The 15931-nt window shown below is 51.0% G+C and overlaps 1 long non-coding RNA gene across 1 annotated transcript in view; it reads right to left on the bottom strand.

Moving 5' to 3' along the window:
• LOC105371750 (uncharacterized) overlaps positions 1 to 15931 on the bottom strand; it is a 115553-nt gene that overhangs the window by 2585 nt on the left and 97037 nt on the right. The window lies entirely within an intron of this gene.

Raw genomic sequence — 15931 nt, 5'->3', positions numbered from 1 at the left:
AAGTTCTAGTTCTTACCCTCCTTGGCCACACCTCAACCACCAGTCCACCCGCTTGACTTGGGTGAGATTAAGGCTTTGAAGACAGATGTTTGAGCCTCCATCCCCCTCTGTCAGTACTTGTGAGACAGTGGCAAATTGCATACCTTCTCTGCACCAAGGTTTCTTTGCTTATAAGATGTGAGACTAACAATGTCTGCCTGCTGGGTTACTGTGAGCTTTCAGTAAGGCGATGTCTGGCTCAGAATAGGTGCTTGCTTAATAAAGTTTAATTATTGTTATTTAATCTTGTCCCCTTATTTTGCTTGCATAAGTATACCTTTTGATTTACAAACTATTCTATTTAACTCTCATGGAAGGCAATGTTGGGAGTTTTTTTGTTTGTTTGTTTGTTTCTTAGACAGGGTCTCACTCTGTCATCCAGCTGGAGTACAGTGGCACAATCACAGCTCACTGCAGCCTCAAACTCCTGGGCTCAAGTGATCCTCCTGTCTCAGCCTTCCAAGTAGATGGGACTATAGACATGTGCCATCATGCCCAGCTAATTTTTTTTTTAACTTTTTTGAGACACAGTCTCACTCTGTCATCCAGACTGGAGTGCAGTGGCACAATCTTGGCTGGCTGCAACCTCCGCCTCCCAGGTTCAAGCGATCCAGCCTCCAGAGTAGCTGGGATTACAGGTTTGCTTTACCATGACCGGGAAATTTTTGTATTTTCAGTAGAGAAGGGGTTTCACCATGTTGGTCAGGCTGGTCTCAAACTCCTGACCTTAAGCGATCCGCCTTCCTTGGCCTCCCAAAGTGCTGGGATCACAGGCATGAGCCACCGCACCTGGCCTTTTTTATCTTTTTTATAGAGACAAGGTCTCACTCTGTCACCCAGGCTGGAATGCAATGGCACAATCTCGGCTCTCTGCAGCCTCCACACCCCTGGATCAAGTGATCCTCCTACCTCAGCCTCCCTGGAAGCTGAGACTATAGGCATGCACCACCAGATCCAGCTAATTCTTTTTTACATTTTTTGTAGAGACAGGGGTCTCACGATGTTGCCCAGGCTGGCCTCAAACTCCTGAGCTCAAGTAATCCTCCTGCCTTGGCCTCCCAAAGTGCTGGGATTACAGGCCTGAGTCACGGCACCTGGCCACAATGTTGGCTGTTTTTAACCCCATTTTACAGATAAGAAACTGAGGCTCTGTGACTTGCCCAAGGTTACACAGCTAGCTGATAGGTTGCCAAGCCACGAATCAGGCCTCCAGATGTCTGTGGCACTCTTTCTTCCTCCCCAGGCTACCTCTGGGTCTGGAATCTTTGTTCGGCATCTCAAATTATTCTCTGAGTGCCACAGAGGTGCCTCTGCCCCTTTTCCTTCTCCCCTCACCTCTGTTGCTCCAGTAGCATCTTTCCTGAGCCCTTGCCCTGGAAACCTGGGTATTCTGAGAAGTCGGGGAGGAGAGGGGGATAGGGCTTTCTCCATGTCCAGACAGGGCCAGGCTTTACCTTAGAGAAAGCTGGGACCCCTGAGACTGGGTTGGAAGAGACCAGGAGAAGAGATCAGGAAACTCGATGGTCCCAGAGCCGTATGAAGATGTCACCATGAGAGGCCGGAATGGGAAAGGCAGCTGTAATTAAGACCTCAATGGAGGTCAGCGTGGGCCAGGAAGGCAGCTCCCGGGCCTCAGACCTGGCCCAGACACTGGAGGGCAGTGATTCCTCCAGATTCCCTCTGGCCATAAGGAATCAGCAAGGAGGCTCACCATCCCCAGGGAGGATGTGTTTCCAGTTTATTCCATTAAAGTCCATCTTGCCCCTGGGCTCCAGAGGGTTTGGCTCACATCTGTCATGCTTGGCAGCACCTGGCACAGGCAAAGCTGGCACATGCAAGGCACCTGCTATTTGTTAAATGGCTAAGTGGTACCCCATAGTCTATCCCATTCACCCCTGCCTCTGCACATTGCTGCCTCCAGCACTCACCCATTTCTGTATACTCAGACCATCCCAGTGTCTGGGACCTTCTGGCTGAAGTCTCTCCTGCATCCTCCCTGTGCTAACCTCACCCCTGCTCCTGTGAGGTCAATGGAGCCTCCGGAGGGGGGCATGGGTGATACGGACAAGGAGCCATGGCAGAGTTACTACAGCTCCCTCAGCTCCCAGTCTGGAGAAGAAAATCACCACTGTAAATTTCCCCAACAGCGCCCCGCCCAGCTCCTCCTCCCTGATTCCAGCCCCTTAGCTCATGATTTATAGCAGGAGCCTCGGTGGCCACCTCTGCAGGAGGAAAGCAGGCACCTGCAGCCCGCACGGAGGAGTCGTCTCACCCCAGGCCTGGGGCGGGGACCCCAGACGTTCACCAACACCCCTCATCCCCTGCCCCCAGGCAGGGCTCTTCTGCCTCCCAGCGGGCATCCTCTGCTACAGTCCCCATCACCCTGCCCACCACACCGTGGCTTCCCTGAACCCTGAGACCTCCGGAAGGGGAAGCCAGGAAGCTGCACCTCCCACAGCGGCTCATTCCACAGCCACTCGCCTTAACCTCCAGTTTTGTCCAATGGGACATTGGGGGATGACCAAAATGGCCATGGGGACCCAGATTGCACAGAAAGGAGGCTGTGGAGTCCTGGCCTTATTCCACCACGTGGTGATGGGGAAAGAGCCCTGGGCTACGAGCCCAGAAGTCTGGATTCTGGTCCCGGCTCTGGGTAAATGTCTGGCCCTTTCCAGGTGTCAGTTCCTTCATCTGTAAAATGGGGGCTTGGGTCAGGTGGCACCTAAGGGTTTAGGAGGAACCTAAGGGGGCACCTCTCCACACCTGTGCCCCTGGACTTGACTTCACATCCAGGGCTGGCACGCATTTTCTGGCTCCACAAGCAGCACCCTGCATTCGAGTCATGTTAGGCTTCCCCTCTCCTACTCCCCACTTCTGGAGGAGGCCAAGAATGGGGCCTGCTATCCTAGACCCATTCATTCATAAGGCAGAGGGGGTGGGTGGTGGCTGACACAGTGTCCCTGTCCCTCCTGGGGCTGTCCCACAGCAAAGGCCCCCTCCCCACCTCAGCCTGAAAGCATAGGCTCCTGGAAGGCCTCCTACCACCAGCAGCAGCAAGACTTTGCCTCTGCCTCCTTGTTCCCTCCCAGACTTACCCCAAGGCTGAGGCCACCCCCCTCCCCAGGAACCATTGCCCAAACCAGGCTAGGTTTTCTCCAGCTCCGGCAGGAACCTGGGAGCCAGGCCGCTTCTGAGAGGTCCGGGCTGGGGGCACATCTCTTCTGCCCACCTCCAGCAGCAGGTAGGCATCAAGGTTACTCCCTAGATCAGGGTCCCAGGGATCAGAAACAGGACTGGGTGATAAAATGACCGAGGTTGGGGGGACAAGACCTGAAGTTCCTGTAAACGTTCAGTGAGCTGAAAGCAGTTCCTCCAGCCACAGGGCTCGGGGCAGCACACTGGGCCTGCTGGTCCCTGTGAGCCAAGGGTTCTCTAAGGCCCTTGTTTACTAGTAATGTCATCAGTACCAGGACACAGAGGATCCAAATGTACTTCAGCCAAGTTATGCATGGATTTTTGCCTGCAAATATCTTATTCTCTCAATGTCCAAACTCCCTAGGATAGGGTCTGTCTTTTTCCATCAGACTGAGGGGTTCCCAAGGCAGAGCTGTATCTCTGCCATCTGATTGTGGGTTCTCCTAAATAATAACAACGACAGCCACACATACTGAGCCTGGCCCTGCTGTACGCACTTTACCCACAATATCACAACAACCTTAAAAACTGTGTGCTGCTGTCATCTCCAATGTATAGATAAAGAAATGAAGTTCAAACGGGTTGAGCTACTTGGCCAAAGCAATAGATCACAACCAAACTCAAATCCCTGGTGGCATGGAAGCCTGAGCTCCACCCATGCTGCTTCTGAGAGTTGGAGGTGGGGGGCCCACACCTTTGATCTACTCCTTTTGCAATACAGAGACCCAGAGACAGGGAAAAAAATCCCCAAGTTTGCACAGCAAGATAGAAGCAATCTTGATGCCCAAACCAGGTTTCCTGAGGGCCTATCCTGGATTCTAGTCCACGTGCAGCCAGACCCTACTCAGCCGCAGGACAGAGTGGCTCTCAGCACCCAGAAAACTGACAGCATGTCCTCCCCTCCCCACCCCCAGCTTCCCTTTGCATAGAGAAGCCAGTTCTCCTTCATGTATGTGGCCACTCCATGGCTATTTGTCAGTGTTCTGTAAGCTCTTCCCGTAACACATACCCATTTGCAGTTCAAGTCATCAAAAGCCAAGTATACAATTTTTCATTTTTATATCAATCCTTGTTCTTAGGCATCAGTTTTACCCTCCTGAAACTCAGCTCAGCTGATGGTGAAATCATTTCCCTTCCCTGAGATCTTATCTTGCATGAGAGGCCGAGGGATGGCCTGGATTCCCTCAGCGTAGGGGACCCGCTGGCTCAGGGAGTGGTTTGCCTCAGGTATCAGGACATAGAGGACCCAAATCCACTTAAGTCAAGTTATGAGTGAACTTTTGCCTGAAAATATCTTATTTTCTCAATGCCTATAAGTGCCCAAGGACAGGGTCTCATTTTTTTCCATCAGACTAGGGGTTCCCAAGGCAGACTTGTACCTCTCCCATCTGATTATGGGTTCTCCTAAAACAGGAATTCGGTCTCCCCTATTAGACTAAGGGCTCTCCCAAGCCAGAGCTATGACTCCTTCATCAGACCGGTTATTACCCAAGGATAACACTGTCTCCCCCATCAGACTAGCTAATCCCTGAGGATAATGCTATCTCCCCCATCAAACTGAGTAGAGTCTATATCCCCTCCAGCCAGTCCCCATCCTGGGCATGGCTGAATCTATACCATTTGGCACAGGGCAGCTTCTCACAGAAGAAAGCTTTAGATGGCAGGAAAACTCCCCTCTCCCTCCCACCCCATCCCCAGGGAGCCAAGCCAATAGAGGCTGCTGTGAAGGCTCCTGGGGGCCTGTCCCAGACTAGCGAGATCCAGCCAGGCCCACAAGCTCCTCTCACTGCCTGCCACCGCCACTGGGCAGCCCAGCACCCCCTGACCTCATGGCCTTCCATCATGGGAGATCTATAACATTTACAATCCCAAAACAAAAGACCCCGAGAGCCGAGGACAGAATTCATCTTCCCAGCTGACAAGCCCCGTTAATTAACGACTTAGAAATCGATGACGAGAAGGGACAGGCGGCAAATGACACCTCATCGTGGGCCAGGAAGAGGGAGGGAATGTCCGGGGACTGGTGGACACGCACCGTGGGGCTGGCCAGGCGCCTGGGAGAGCCACCCTCCCATCTGTCACTGTCACTTCAAACGCGGTCGACTACCTCCCCAACCAGAAATTCTCATTTCCCACCATGGCAGACCCCCAAGAAAAGTGGGGAGAGATTGTGCTAAAAGAGCGAAGGGAAAGTAATTTATGGAGCACCTTCCATGTGCCGGGCACTGAGCTAGGTGCTTCTCATTCCTTATAACCTCTCATAGCAACTGGGGGAGGTAGGTTTCTTGATTCCCACTTTAGGGGTGAGAAAACTTAGGGGCGGAGGAAAGTCAACCTAAGGTTGACTAAGGTTGGGGTTGTGTTTGTAAATGCCTGCTACAGGTGGATGAAACCAGCTCTGCTTCTAAGGAGGCAACTTGATTAAAGCAAAGAGCTCTGGATTTGAGAGCAGAAGATCTGAGACTAAGCCCTATCTCCATCCCCGCTGTCTGTGTAACATTAGACAAGTTGCTTAATGTCTCCAAGTCTCCATTCCTTCATCTGTAGCAGAGGGAGAAGAATCCCTCACCCTTTCCTTACCACATAGAGGAGTCACACACTCTTGTGGAGGAGCTTGGGCTACCTAAGGCCTATGCTTGGGTAAGGGGGCAGATGTTATTTTCTGTTCATCACCCCTACCCAACTTGGGGGCAAGATGTGGGATGAAATGGTATGAAAATCCAGAAGGGAAGGCTTGGGAGGGCCCAAGAGTGTCCATCAAAGATAGGAGGGCAGGGGCCGGGCACAGTGGCTCACACCTATAATCCCAGCACTTTGGGAGGCTGAGGCAGGCGGATGACTTGAGATCAGGAGTTCCAGACCAGCCTGGCCAACATGGTGAAACCCGTCTCTACCAAAAATACAAAAATTAGCTGGGCATGGTGGTGCGCACCTGTAATCCCAGCCACTCGGGAGGCTGAGGCAGGAGAATTGCTTGAACCTTGGAGGCGGAGGTTGCAGTGAGCCAAGATCACACCACTGCACCCCAGCCTGGGCGACAGAGTGAGACTCCATCTCAACAAACAAACAAACAAACAAACAAAACAAAACAAACAGATGGGAGGGTGGGGCTGGAAAACAGGCCCCTTGGGCCCACCTGTGAGTTCAGTCTTTCTGCAAAAAAAGGAGATAACAGGCCAGGCGCGGTGGTTCACACCTGTAATCCCAGCACTTTGGGAGGCTCAGGTGAGTGAATCACCTGAGGTCAGGAGTTCGAGACCAGCCTGGCCAACATGGTGAAACCCCATCTCCACAAAAATACAAAAATTAGCCAGGCATGATGGCAGGTGTCTGTAATCCCAGCTACTTGGCAGGTTGAGGCAGGAGAACCGCTTGAAGCTGGGAGGTGGAGGTTGCAGTGAGTGGAGATCACACCACTGCACTCCAATCTGGGTGACAGAACGAGACTCCATCTCAAAAAAAAAAAAAAAAAAGAAGAAGAAGATAACAAAGGTGCCTACTTTGTGGAATTACTGTGAAGTTGAGACAGACAATGCCAGCAAAGGGCTTAGCATGGCCTGGGACATAGTAAGTGCCCAATACATGTCAGCAAGGGTCAGTGTTCTCCCATCCCTTCTCCCTCTCCCAAACCAATGTCAGAGATGTGGCAGAGTGAGGATCAAAGAAAATGCAAGGAGCACCTGCCTGACCCAGGGCTCCTTGCTGAGGGCCCCTGGGAAGGGAGTGAACACAGCTCCTGCTCTTGGAAAAGACCCTGACAATGGAGCTCACAGTTACCATCCACTATGAGGAGCTCAATGCTGGGACATGGAATGGTTCTCGGGGAGCCCAGAGTGGCTGCTGTCTGGCCTGGAAGAGTGAGTAGGAGAAATCGTGGCGGGATGTGAGGAAAGGGACTCAGCGAGGTGGGCTGAGGGAGTCCTGGTGCCCCACACATAGCAGATGCCTCCCCTTCTTCCACCCAGTCCACAGTCAGCAGAGTCCAGGAGATGTCTGGGAAATGTGGGAGTCGCAGAGGCTGCTGGGAGTGTGAGGGTGGGGGCGGGGCAGGATAAAAGCCTAGAGGGGCTGGGGCCAAATGGAGAAGGACGCAGGATACCACAGCACGCTGGGGAGTGAGAGCCTCAGCTTCTGGGTGTATCAAATGGGGCCAGGTTCCAAAGAAGAGGCATACTTGGCAAACAAGCACAGGAAACGAAGCTCCGCCTCCCTAAGCACAGGCAAATGCAAATCAAAACCACAGGAAGGTGGGCCAGGCACGATGGTTCATGCCTACAATCCCAGCACTTTGGGAGGCCGAGGCAGGCAGACCACTTGAGATCAGGAGTTGGAGACCAGCCTGGCCAACATGGCAAAACCCCATCTCTACTAAAAACACAAAAATTAGCAAACAGGCATGTGATCCCAGCTACTCGGGAGGCTGAGGCAGGAGAATCGCTTGAACCCAGGAGGCAGAGGTTGCCTTGAGCCAGGATCTTGCCACTGCACTCCAGCCTGGGCGATAGAGACTCTGTCTCAAAACAAACAAACCACAGGAAGCTATCACTCCATCATACTGGGATGGCTATAATTAAAACAGAAACACACAGGAAATAAGCATTGGAGAGGATGTGGCACTATTGGAACCCTTATGTATTGCTGGTGGGACTGTAACACGGTGCAGCCACTGTGGAAAACAGTTTGGAGATTCCTCAGAAAATGAAACCTAAAATTACCATATGATAGCAAGTCTATTCCTAGGTATAGAGCCAAAGGAACTGAAAACAGGGACTCAAACCAATACTTGTACACCCATGTTCATTGCAGCATTATTCACGATGGCCAAACTGAAGTGTCCATCAACCAGTGAATGGAAACACAAAATGTGAAACACAAAATGTGACACAGACATAGGACGGAATTCTACGCAGCATTAAGAAGAATTAAGTTATGACACATGCTACAACATGGATAAACCTTGAGGACACAATGCTAAGTGAAATAAGCCAGGCACAAAAGGACACATATTGTATAATTCCACTTACAGGAAATATCTAGAAAAGGCAAATTCATAGAGACAGAAAGTAGACATTACCAGGGGCTGTGGGAAGAAGAGAATAGAAAGTTATTGCTTAATAGGTTTCTGTCTGGGGTGGTGAAAAGTTTTAGAAACAGAGTGGTCATGGTTGTACAACACTGTGAAATGTAATTAATGCCACTGAATTGTACCCTTAAAAATCGTTAAAATGGTATAAGTGATATATGTTTTACCACAATGTTTAAAAAAACTTTAAAAATCCAACAGGAAAAAAAAATGGGGCTAAAGATCTTTTTGACAAGAATTCGGCTTTGTCTTCTTAGGGACTCCTTCCTAGGGATCAGGGAGCCCTATACTAGGGGGACCCTCTAAATTGAGGCTGGGAGGATGAATGATGCCACCCCCTCCTTCTTCTCATCTGCCCCCAAAACTCCCACCCCACCCCTTTCCCCCAGCCCAAGCCATGGGGGGAAAGTTGGCCAGGCCTGGACAAGCCTGGGCCTTCCTCTCAGAGCAGATGGCTTCACTCTCCTCCCCTCCCCCTGCCTTCTCCCCCACCCCCAGCCCCCTTAAAGAAGAAGAGACCTTTCCAGAATACGTCATCTCACCGGAGCCGTAAATGTCAAATTTAAATTCATACTTTGTACCACCTTTGATTTCAAAGCGGATTACACCTCAGTGGTGAAAGGCGGCCACAGCGCGGGGCCTGAGAGGTCTCCTGGGCCTCCGCTGGCCCGAAGCATTGTTAACTCCTTCCAACTCATTAGCTCTAATCCCGATGGCACTGAGTAAGGGGCCCTGGGCCGCACCCGGCACTCAGGACCGTATGTGCCATTGTATCACTCCTCGGCTAATCCAGCACCCGTCGCAGGCACTGGCCCAGGGGAAAGGGACTGTGGCCACCCGCTCCGGCCGGGAGTGTGTCCTGGCCCTCAGTGGGGGAAGGGGAGGAGGCAGGCAGGCGTTCAGCCGCAGAACCCCCACAGAGCCTTTGAGGATCAGGACGAAGGGACCACAGGGTGGGGAGGAGGGGACGAGGGTGCTGGGAGAGGTGGAGGGACAGACAGACGTCAATTGGTGCTGCGCCACGTTTTCTCTCTCCCAATATACACTCACTCGCTATACACATCTATTCACACATCCATACTCACACTCCGTCACACACTGGCACACTCACTATACACACCTACTCACACATCCACACTCACACTCCACACACCAGCACACTCACTACACACACCTATTCACACATCCACACTTTGTCACACACCAGCACACTCACTATACACACCTACTCACACATCCACACTCACACTCCGTCACACACTGGGCACACTCACTATACCATAACCTATTATCCACACTCATACTCCATCACACACCAGCACAGTCACCATACACACCTATTCACACATCCACTCACACTCCATCACACACCAGCACAGTCACTATACACACCTATTCACACATCCACACTCACACTCTGTTGCACACTGGTACTCACATATACACACCTATTCACATATCCACACACACTCCGTCACACACTGGCACACTCACTGTCATACAGCACCCTGCACCCACAGCAACACCTATGCACCTACACACCTTGCACACACAGATGCAACCACACCTGTACACACAATACCAACACCCAGAGGCACACCTTGGCGCCTACACACACATCCACATTCATGTACCCTCAATACAGCCGCATTCTCACACACTCATGTCTACCCATCCACACACATGCACACACATATCCATGCACTCGCAGACACCCAGTCCACTCTGCGGAATGTCCCTGTTTAAAAAAATAAAAGAGCTCCTGGCATTTTTTCCCCTGACCTTTCCAATGTCCAGAATGTCAGAGCTGGAAGAGACTTTAAAGAGAACTGAGTCTGCTCATCTCGCTTACTGGTGGGTAAACTGAACCTCAGCTGCAGTGCAGCCCAGCCCTTCCCAGCCTGGTGACGTCACACAATTCTCTTAATGCCACGAAGGCCCTGCTTCCTCTGCTGACTAAAAAAGTTCAATATTCTAATGAATTTAAAAAGAAAAAATAAAGTATAATAGCACTTGCCCTGCAGGATTCTTATCAGGATGAAATGAGACAATGTACATCCAAGCGTTTCATGAATGCAAAAGCACCCTAAACAAGTGTGTAAATGTCATAAATGGGTTCCCAGGACCACCCATGAATAAGCAGCAACGGAAGACTAGAAGCTAGAGCTTTGAGCTCTGCGCAGGCGTCCCATGGTCCTCAACTTTCCAAAAGAAAGACGGGGGGCAGCAGCCCAGACCCGGAAGGCTCTGGGTAATATGGGAAGAACAGGCTACAGCTGGGGCGGGTCATGGCGCCAGGCTGCTTACTCGGGCCCCACCCACACAGTGGTCTCAGGCTTAGGAGAAATCAAGTTTCCAGGTGAAAAGAGTAAACTAGGCATGTCTGACCACTGATATCTACCCAGGCCTGGGCTCCAAGCTCCCAGCGCTCACTCTCTGAGGAAAACCTGCTGGAACAGTCTGGCTGAAGGTGACATTTAGTTAGGATACGGGGCAGAGGCCAACATGTCACTGATCCTATCCCCAAGAAAGGGGACAGACACATGCAACACCGTAGGCTAATCACATGCAGAGGTACTAGCACAGCAGCATCCATCTGTCTGCCAGTCTGTCTGTCTGTCCATATTTAGGGGTGTGGTGGGAGTGAACAGAGGTTAAAGCTGGTGGGGGAGGGGTTGGATCTGTTTCTTTGGATTTTTCTCTGAAGCTAAGAAAATACATGTACACATATAGATCAGTGGTGTGTTGGAGCCAATCATGGTTGTCTCTTTCCAAGGCCATGTTCAGTGACACCAGGTTAGTAATTTGAAATTCACCATGGTGGGAGTAGTTACACCATGGAAATTGGCAAACACTTCAAATCAGGACTCCCCCCCATTCCTCAAATCAATTGTTAAACATTTACTAGCACAGCACTGTGCAACATATGTTCCCTGCTCCCCACTGGGAAACTTATGCCCCTTGAACTTTAAACCCAGGTACTTTAAGTACCTGAACTCTCCCCTCCAGCCAATGCCTCGCCATCTTCTTCACCATCAGAGCCTCAGCTTCCTCAACCATAAAATTAGGAGAATAATGATAGCATCTGGAGCAGAGCCTGTTGAACTTCAATGTGCACACGAATCACTGGAGGATCCTGTTAAGATGCAGAATCTGATTAGTCCGTGTCTTAGTCCACTTGTGCTGCTATAATGAAAATATCACAGACTGGGTAATATATAAATAATAGAAATTTGTTTCTTGCAGTTCTAGAGGCTGGGAAGTCCAAGATCAAGGCACCGGCAAATTCTGTGTCTGAGAGGGCTGCTCTCTGATTCCAGCACAGCACATTGCTACTGTGTCCTCACATGGCAGAAAAAAAGAGGGGCAAAAAGGGCCTAGTTAGTTCCTTCAAGCCCTTTTATAAGGGTGCTAATCTATTCATGAGGGTGGAGGCCTCGTGACTTAATCATCTCCTACAGGCCCCACCTCCTAATCCTGTTGCATTGGGGATTCAGTTTCAACATGAATTCTGGAGGGGACATAGACATTGAAACCGTAGCAGTCAGTTCAGGATGGGACCCAAGATTCTACATTTCTGACAAACTCTCAAGTGGTGTTGATGCTGCTGTTCCATAGACCACACATAGAAGAATAGGGACATCTTTATTAACATCTCATTAGTGCCAGGTAAAGGTGTTGAGGCTGCCTTGAATCTTTAACCTCTGGCCTGACCGTCTTCCTCAGCCCCAGACCCCCTCCTGATAGCTTGTCATCTCTATGTAAATGCCCCTCTGGGACCTTTAAAAAAGCTAAAGCAAAATGGAAAATACTTATCCCTTCATCCCAAACACCTCCCTCCAGACTGTGATTCTCCCCAGCCACCCTCTTTCTCTTGCTCATGGCCAGTTGGTAGCAATGACGTTCACCAGGAACATCTTCCCTAAGTGGTGGGAGCTTGCTGCTTCTCTGATTCTATCCCCCAAGCTGGGCCCGCACCCCTCCAGCCCCTATTCATGGAGGTCAATGGCGGTTTTTCTCCCCAACCTTGAGTGGGTGCGGTGCCCACGGTCTCCAGCTTGAAGTCTGAAGGCTCTTGCGGGCCTGGTCTGTACTGTGTCTTGGCCACCCTCTCCCTCAAATGAGTCCCAACTCAGTGCTGCGGCTCACTGTTTCCGGGAAGTTCAAGGGCATCCCGCTGAGATCTGCCCTCTATTCCTTCAAGGTCAGCAGGACAGCTCCTCCCCCTAGGACCCACCCTCCCTTCTCTGGACCTCCTCCTTTGGCACTTATCTCTGTGTTACTCAAAGAGCCCAGGGACTGTTTTCTCAAATTTGTGTCCCTTTTTTTTTTTTTCTCATGAGACAGAGTCACTCTGTCACCCAGGCTGCAGTGCAGTGGCATGACCTTGGCTCACTGCAACCTCTGCCTTCCGGGTTCAAACAATTCTCCTGCCTCAGCCTCTGAGTAGCTGGGGTTACAGGTGTGCACCACCACACGCAGCTAATTGTTTTTGTATTTTTAGTGGAGACAGATTTCACCACGTTGGCCAGGCTGGTCTCAAACTCCTGACCTCAAGTGATCCACTCGCCTTGGCCTCCCAAAGTGCTGGGATTACAGGTGTAAGCTGCTGCGCCCAGCCTCAAATTTGTGTCTTCTACTTAATTCCCCAATCTGACCAGGAGCTCCCCTAGGGCAGTGATTGTATCTGCAAAATCAAACTGGGGACATCTCCCAGGACAGGGGCTGTATCTCCTGCAGGGGTCAGGGAATCTTCTGGCAGAGCCCAGGTTTCCTGCAAAAACCCGGAATAGGTGACACCGTGTTTCCTACTCCTTCTGCAGCTCTGGCTGTGGGACTTGGGCCTCCTCCCTTTATTCCACCACTTCCCAGGCATGGCTTTCCTGGGCCCAGCCAGACAGAAGAGAGAAAAGCCACTACAATCACTCTTGGGCAGGGGGCTCTCTGTCCAGGGAAGGGTCAGCCTACAGTCTATCTCCTTCACTGACCCCCATAATTCCCCCGACACCTGTTTGCAGTACTATTCCAGCGTGCGAAAGGAGCTCAGGACTCCCAGGGCCATGAAGCCAGTTGCTAATTAATTGCACTAATTAGCAGGGATGAGGCTGGACATCTGGACCCTCTCATGGGTGAGTTCAGACCCTCGGCAATCTCAGGTTGAGGACAGCTGCCCAGCAGGGACATCATCTCCAGCCTGCCAGACCTGGGGCCCCCTCCCGAGGCACAGAGCACCCCACATATGCTCTGAGCACCCCACATACACTCCAGGCACCCCAAAGGGAGAGGAGAAGCCAAAGCAGGCCAGGGGCAGGGAGTCTGAGACTGGATTCCTGCAGAAGACTTCCCGCCCCAGGCTCCTCTGGAGTGAGGAAGGGAGGGTGGAGGTGCTCTGCCCAGGGCAGGAAGGAACCCCTTTCGGGAGACCAGCTGTACCCCCTCTTCATACCCTTGCTCACACACCATTTACCCCTCATCCTCCTTTCTCCTCAACACCCAGGGGCACTTATTGTCATCTCTATGCAAACACTTCTCTAGGATCTCAAACACGATGGTTCTAAAACAAAAACAAAACCATAAAGACTCATCACCCCTTCCACTCATTCATTCATTCATTCATTCACTCATTCATTCATTCACTCACTCAGTCATTCATTCATTCACTCAGTCATTCAACAAATATTTACTGAGCACTGACCATGAGTCAGGCACTATGCCAGGCACAGAGCACGCAGTTGTAACCAAAACATTGTGTGTACAGGTGATGGAATATTATTCAGCCATAAAAAGAAATGGAATTTTGATATATAGTACAACATAGATCGAACTTGAAAATATTATGCTAAGTACAGTTAGCCAAACACAGAAGGACAAATATTGTAGGATTCCACTTATATAAGGTACCCAGAATAGGCAAATTCAGAGACAGAAAATAGAATAGAGGTTACCAGGAGCTGGGGGGGGGAGGGATGGGGAAGTTATTGTTTAATGGGCTCAAAGTTTATTTTGGAGATGATGAAAAAGTATAGGGTATAGACAGGGATGCTTCCACAACAGTGAGAATGCATTTAATGCCACTGAATTGTACACTTACAAATGATTGAAATAGTAAGTACTGTATGTACATTTCACCACCGTTAAAAACCAACAGGCCAGGTGTGGTGGCTCACTCCTGTAATCCCAGCACTTTGGGAGGCCAAGGTGGGCAGATCACTTGAGGTCAGGAGTTAAAGACCAGTCTGGCCGACATGGTGAAACCCAGTCTCTACTAAAAATACAAAAAACTAGCTGGGCATGGTGTTGTACACCTGTAACCCCAACTACTCAGGAGGCTGAGGCATAAGAATCACTTGAACCCCGGAGGCGGAGGTTGCAGTGAGCTGAGATCGTGCCACTGCACTCCAGCCTGCGCAACAGAGCATCACTGTGTCTCAAAAACAATACAAAACAAACAAACAAAAAAACCAGAAGTCCCTACCCACATGGAGCTTAGCTTCTAGAGGAAGGAGATAATAAGCAAAATCAGTGAAATAGATGAAAGACGGTGACACACACTATGGAAAGAAATGAAGTCAGAGAAGGGAAGAGGGAGCGCTGGGTGGGGCTGCAGATTGGATAGGGTCAGGGAAGGCCTGGCTGGGGAGGACCTGTGAGCAAAGCCATGGAGAAGGCAAAAGAGCACGTGGACATCCAGGATAAGCAATCCTGGCAGAGGGAACGGAATGCCAAGGCCCCAGGGAGAACTCACTTCTGGTGCACACAAGGCACTGCCAGGGGGCAGTGTGGAGCTGGCGAAGTGGACAGGAGTATGAAAGGAGGTAAACAAGGTGATGCGCGTTCACCAGAGAGCCCCGAACACCTAGAGCTCATCATGCACGCTGCATATATGCTGCAGTACCCAGCATCTCGCCAGAGTACCTGCTGCGCCCTCTACCAAGTACTTACCAAGCACCTCACCCCTCCCAGACTGGTCCCTCAGCTCTTCCCAGGGCCCACCTCTCACACCCCACCCTCCAACCCCACACCCTTGACTCATGCCTCATACCTTGACCCCACTCCCTCTGCACCCCCTCCCCCAACCCAGGTATCTAGAAACCTTCTTGAACCTCCAGCCCTCTCCTAGCTTCATGGCAACAACATCCAGGCATTCTAGCTCCTACCTGCCCAGCCCTCAGCCCAACCCAGGGTTCTTCCACAATCCTCACTCCCATTTCTCAGATGAATACACCAAGGCTCAGACATATGGAAGGGCTTCAGCTTCTTAACGTTTCTTCTCTTTCTTTCTTTCTTTCTTTTTTTATTTTTGAGACAGAGTTTTGCTCTGTCATCCAGGCTGGAGTACAGTGGTGTGATCTCGGCTCACTGCAAGCTCCACCTCCCAGGTTCAAGTGATTCTCCTGCCTCAGCCTCCCAAGTAGCTGGGACTACAGGCGCGCAGCACTATGCCCGGCTAATTTTTGTATTTTTAGTAGAGACGGGGTTTCGCCATGTTGGCCAGGCTGGTCTCGAACTCCTAACCTCAAGTGATCCACCCGCCTCAGCCTCCCAAAGTGCTGGGATTACAGGCGTGAGCCACAACACCTGGCCTCCTTAGCAATTCTTCATCAGAGGAGGGAG

The sequence above is a fragment of the Homo sapiens genome, chromosome 17 (genome assembly GCF_000001405.40).
Source record: "Homo sapiens chromosome 17, GRCh38.p14 Primary Assembly".
NCBI lineage: Eukaryota > Metazoa > Chordata > Mammalia > Primates > Hominidae > Homo > Homo sapiens.
This window is presented reverse-complemented; position numbering and strand designations above follow the sequence as displayed.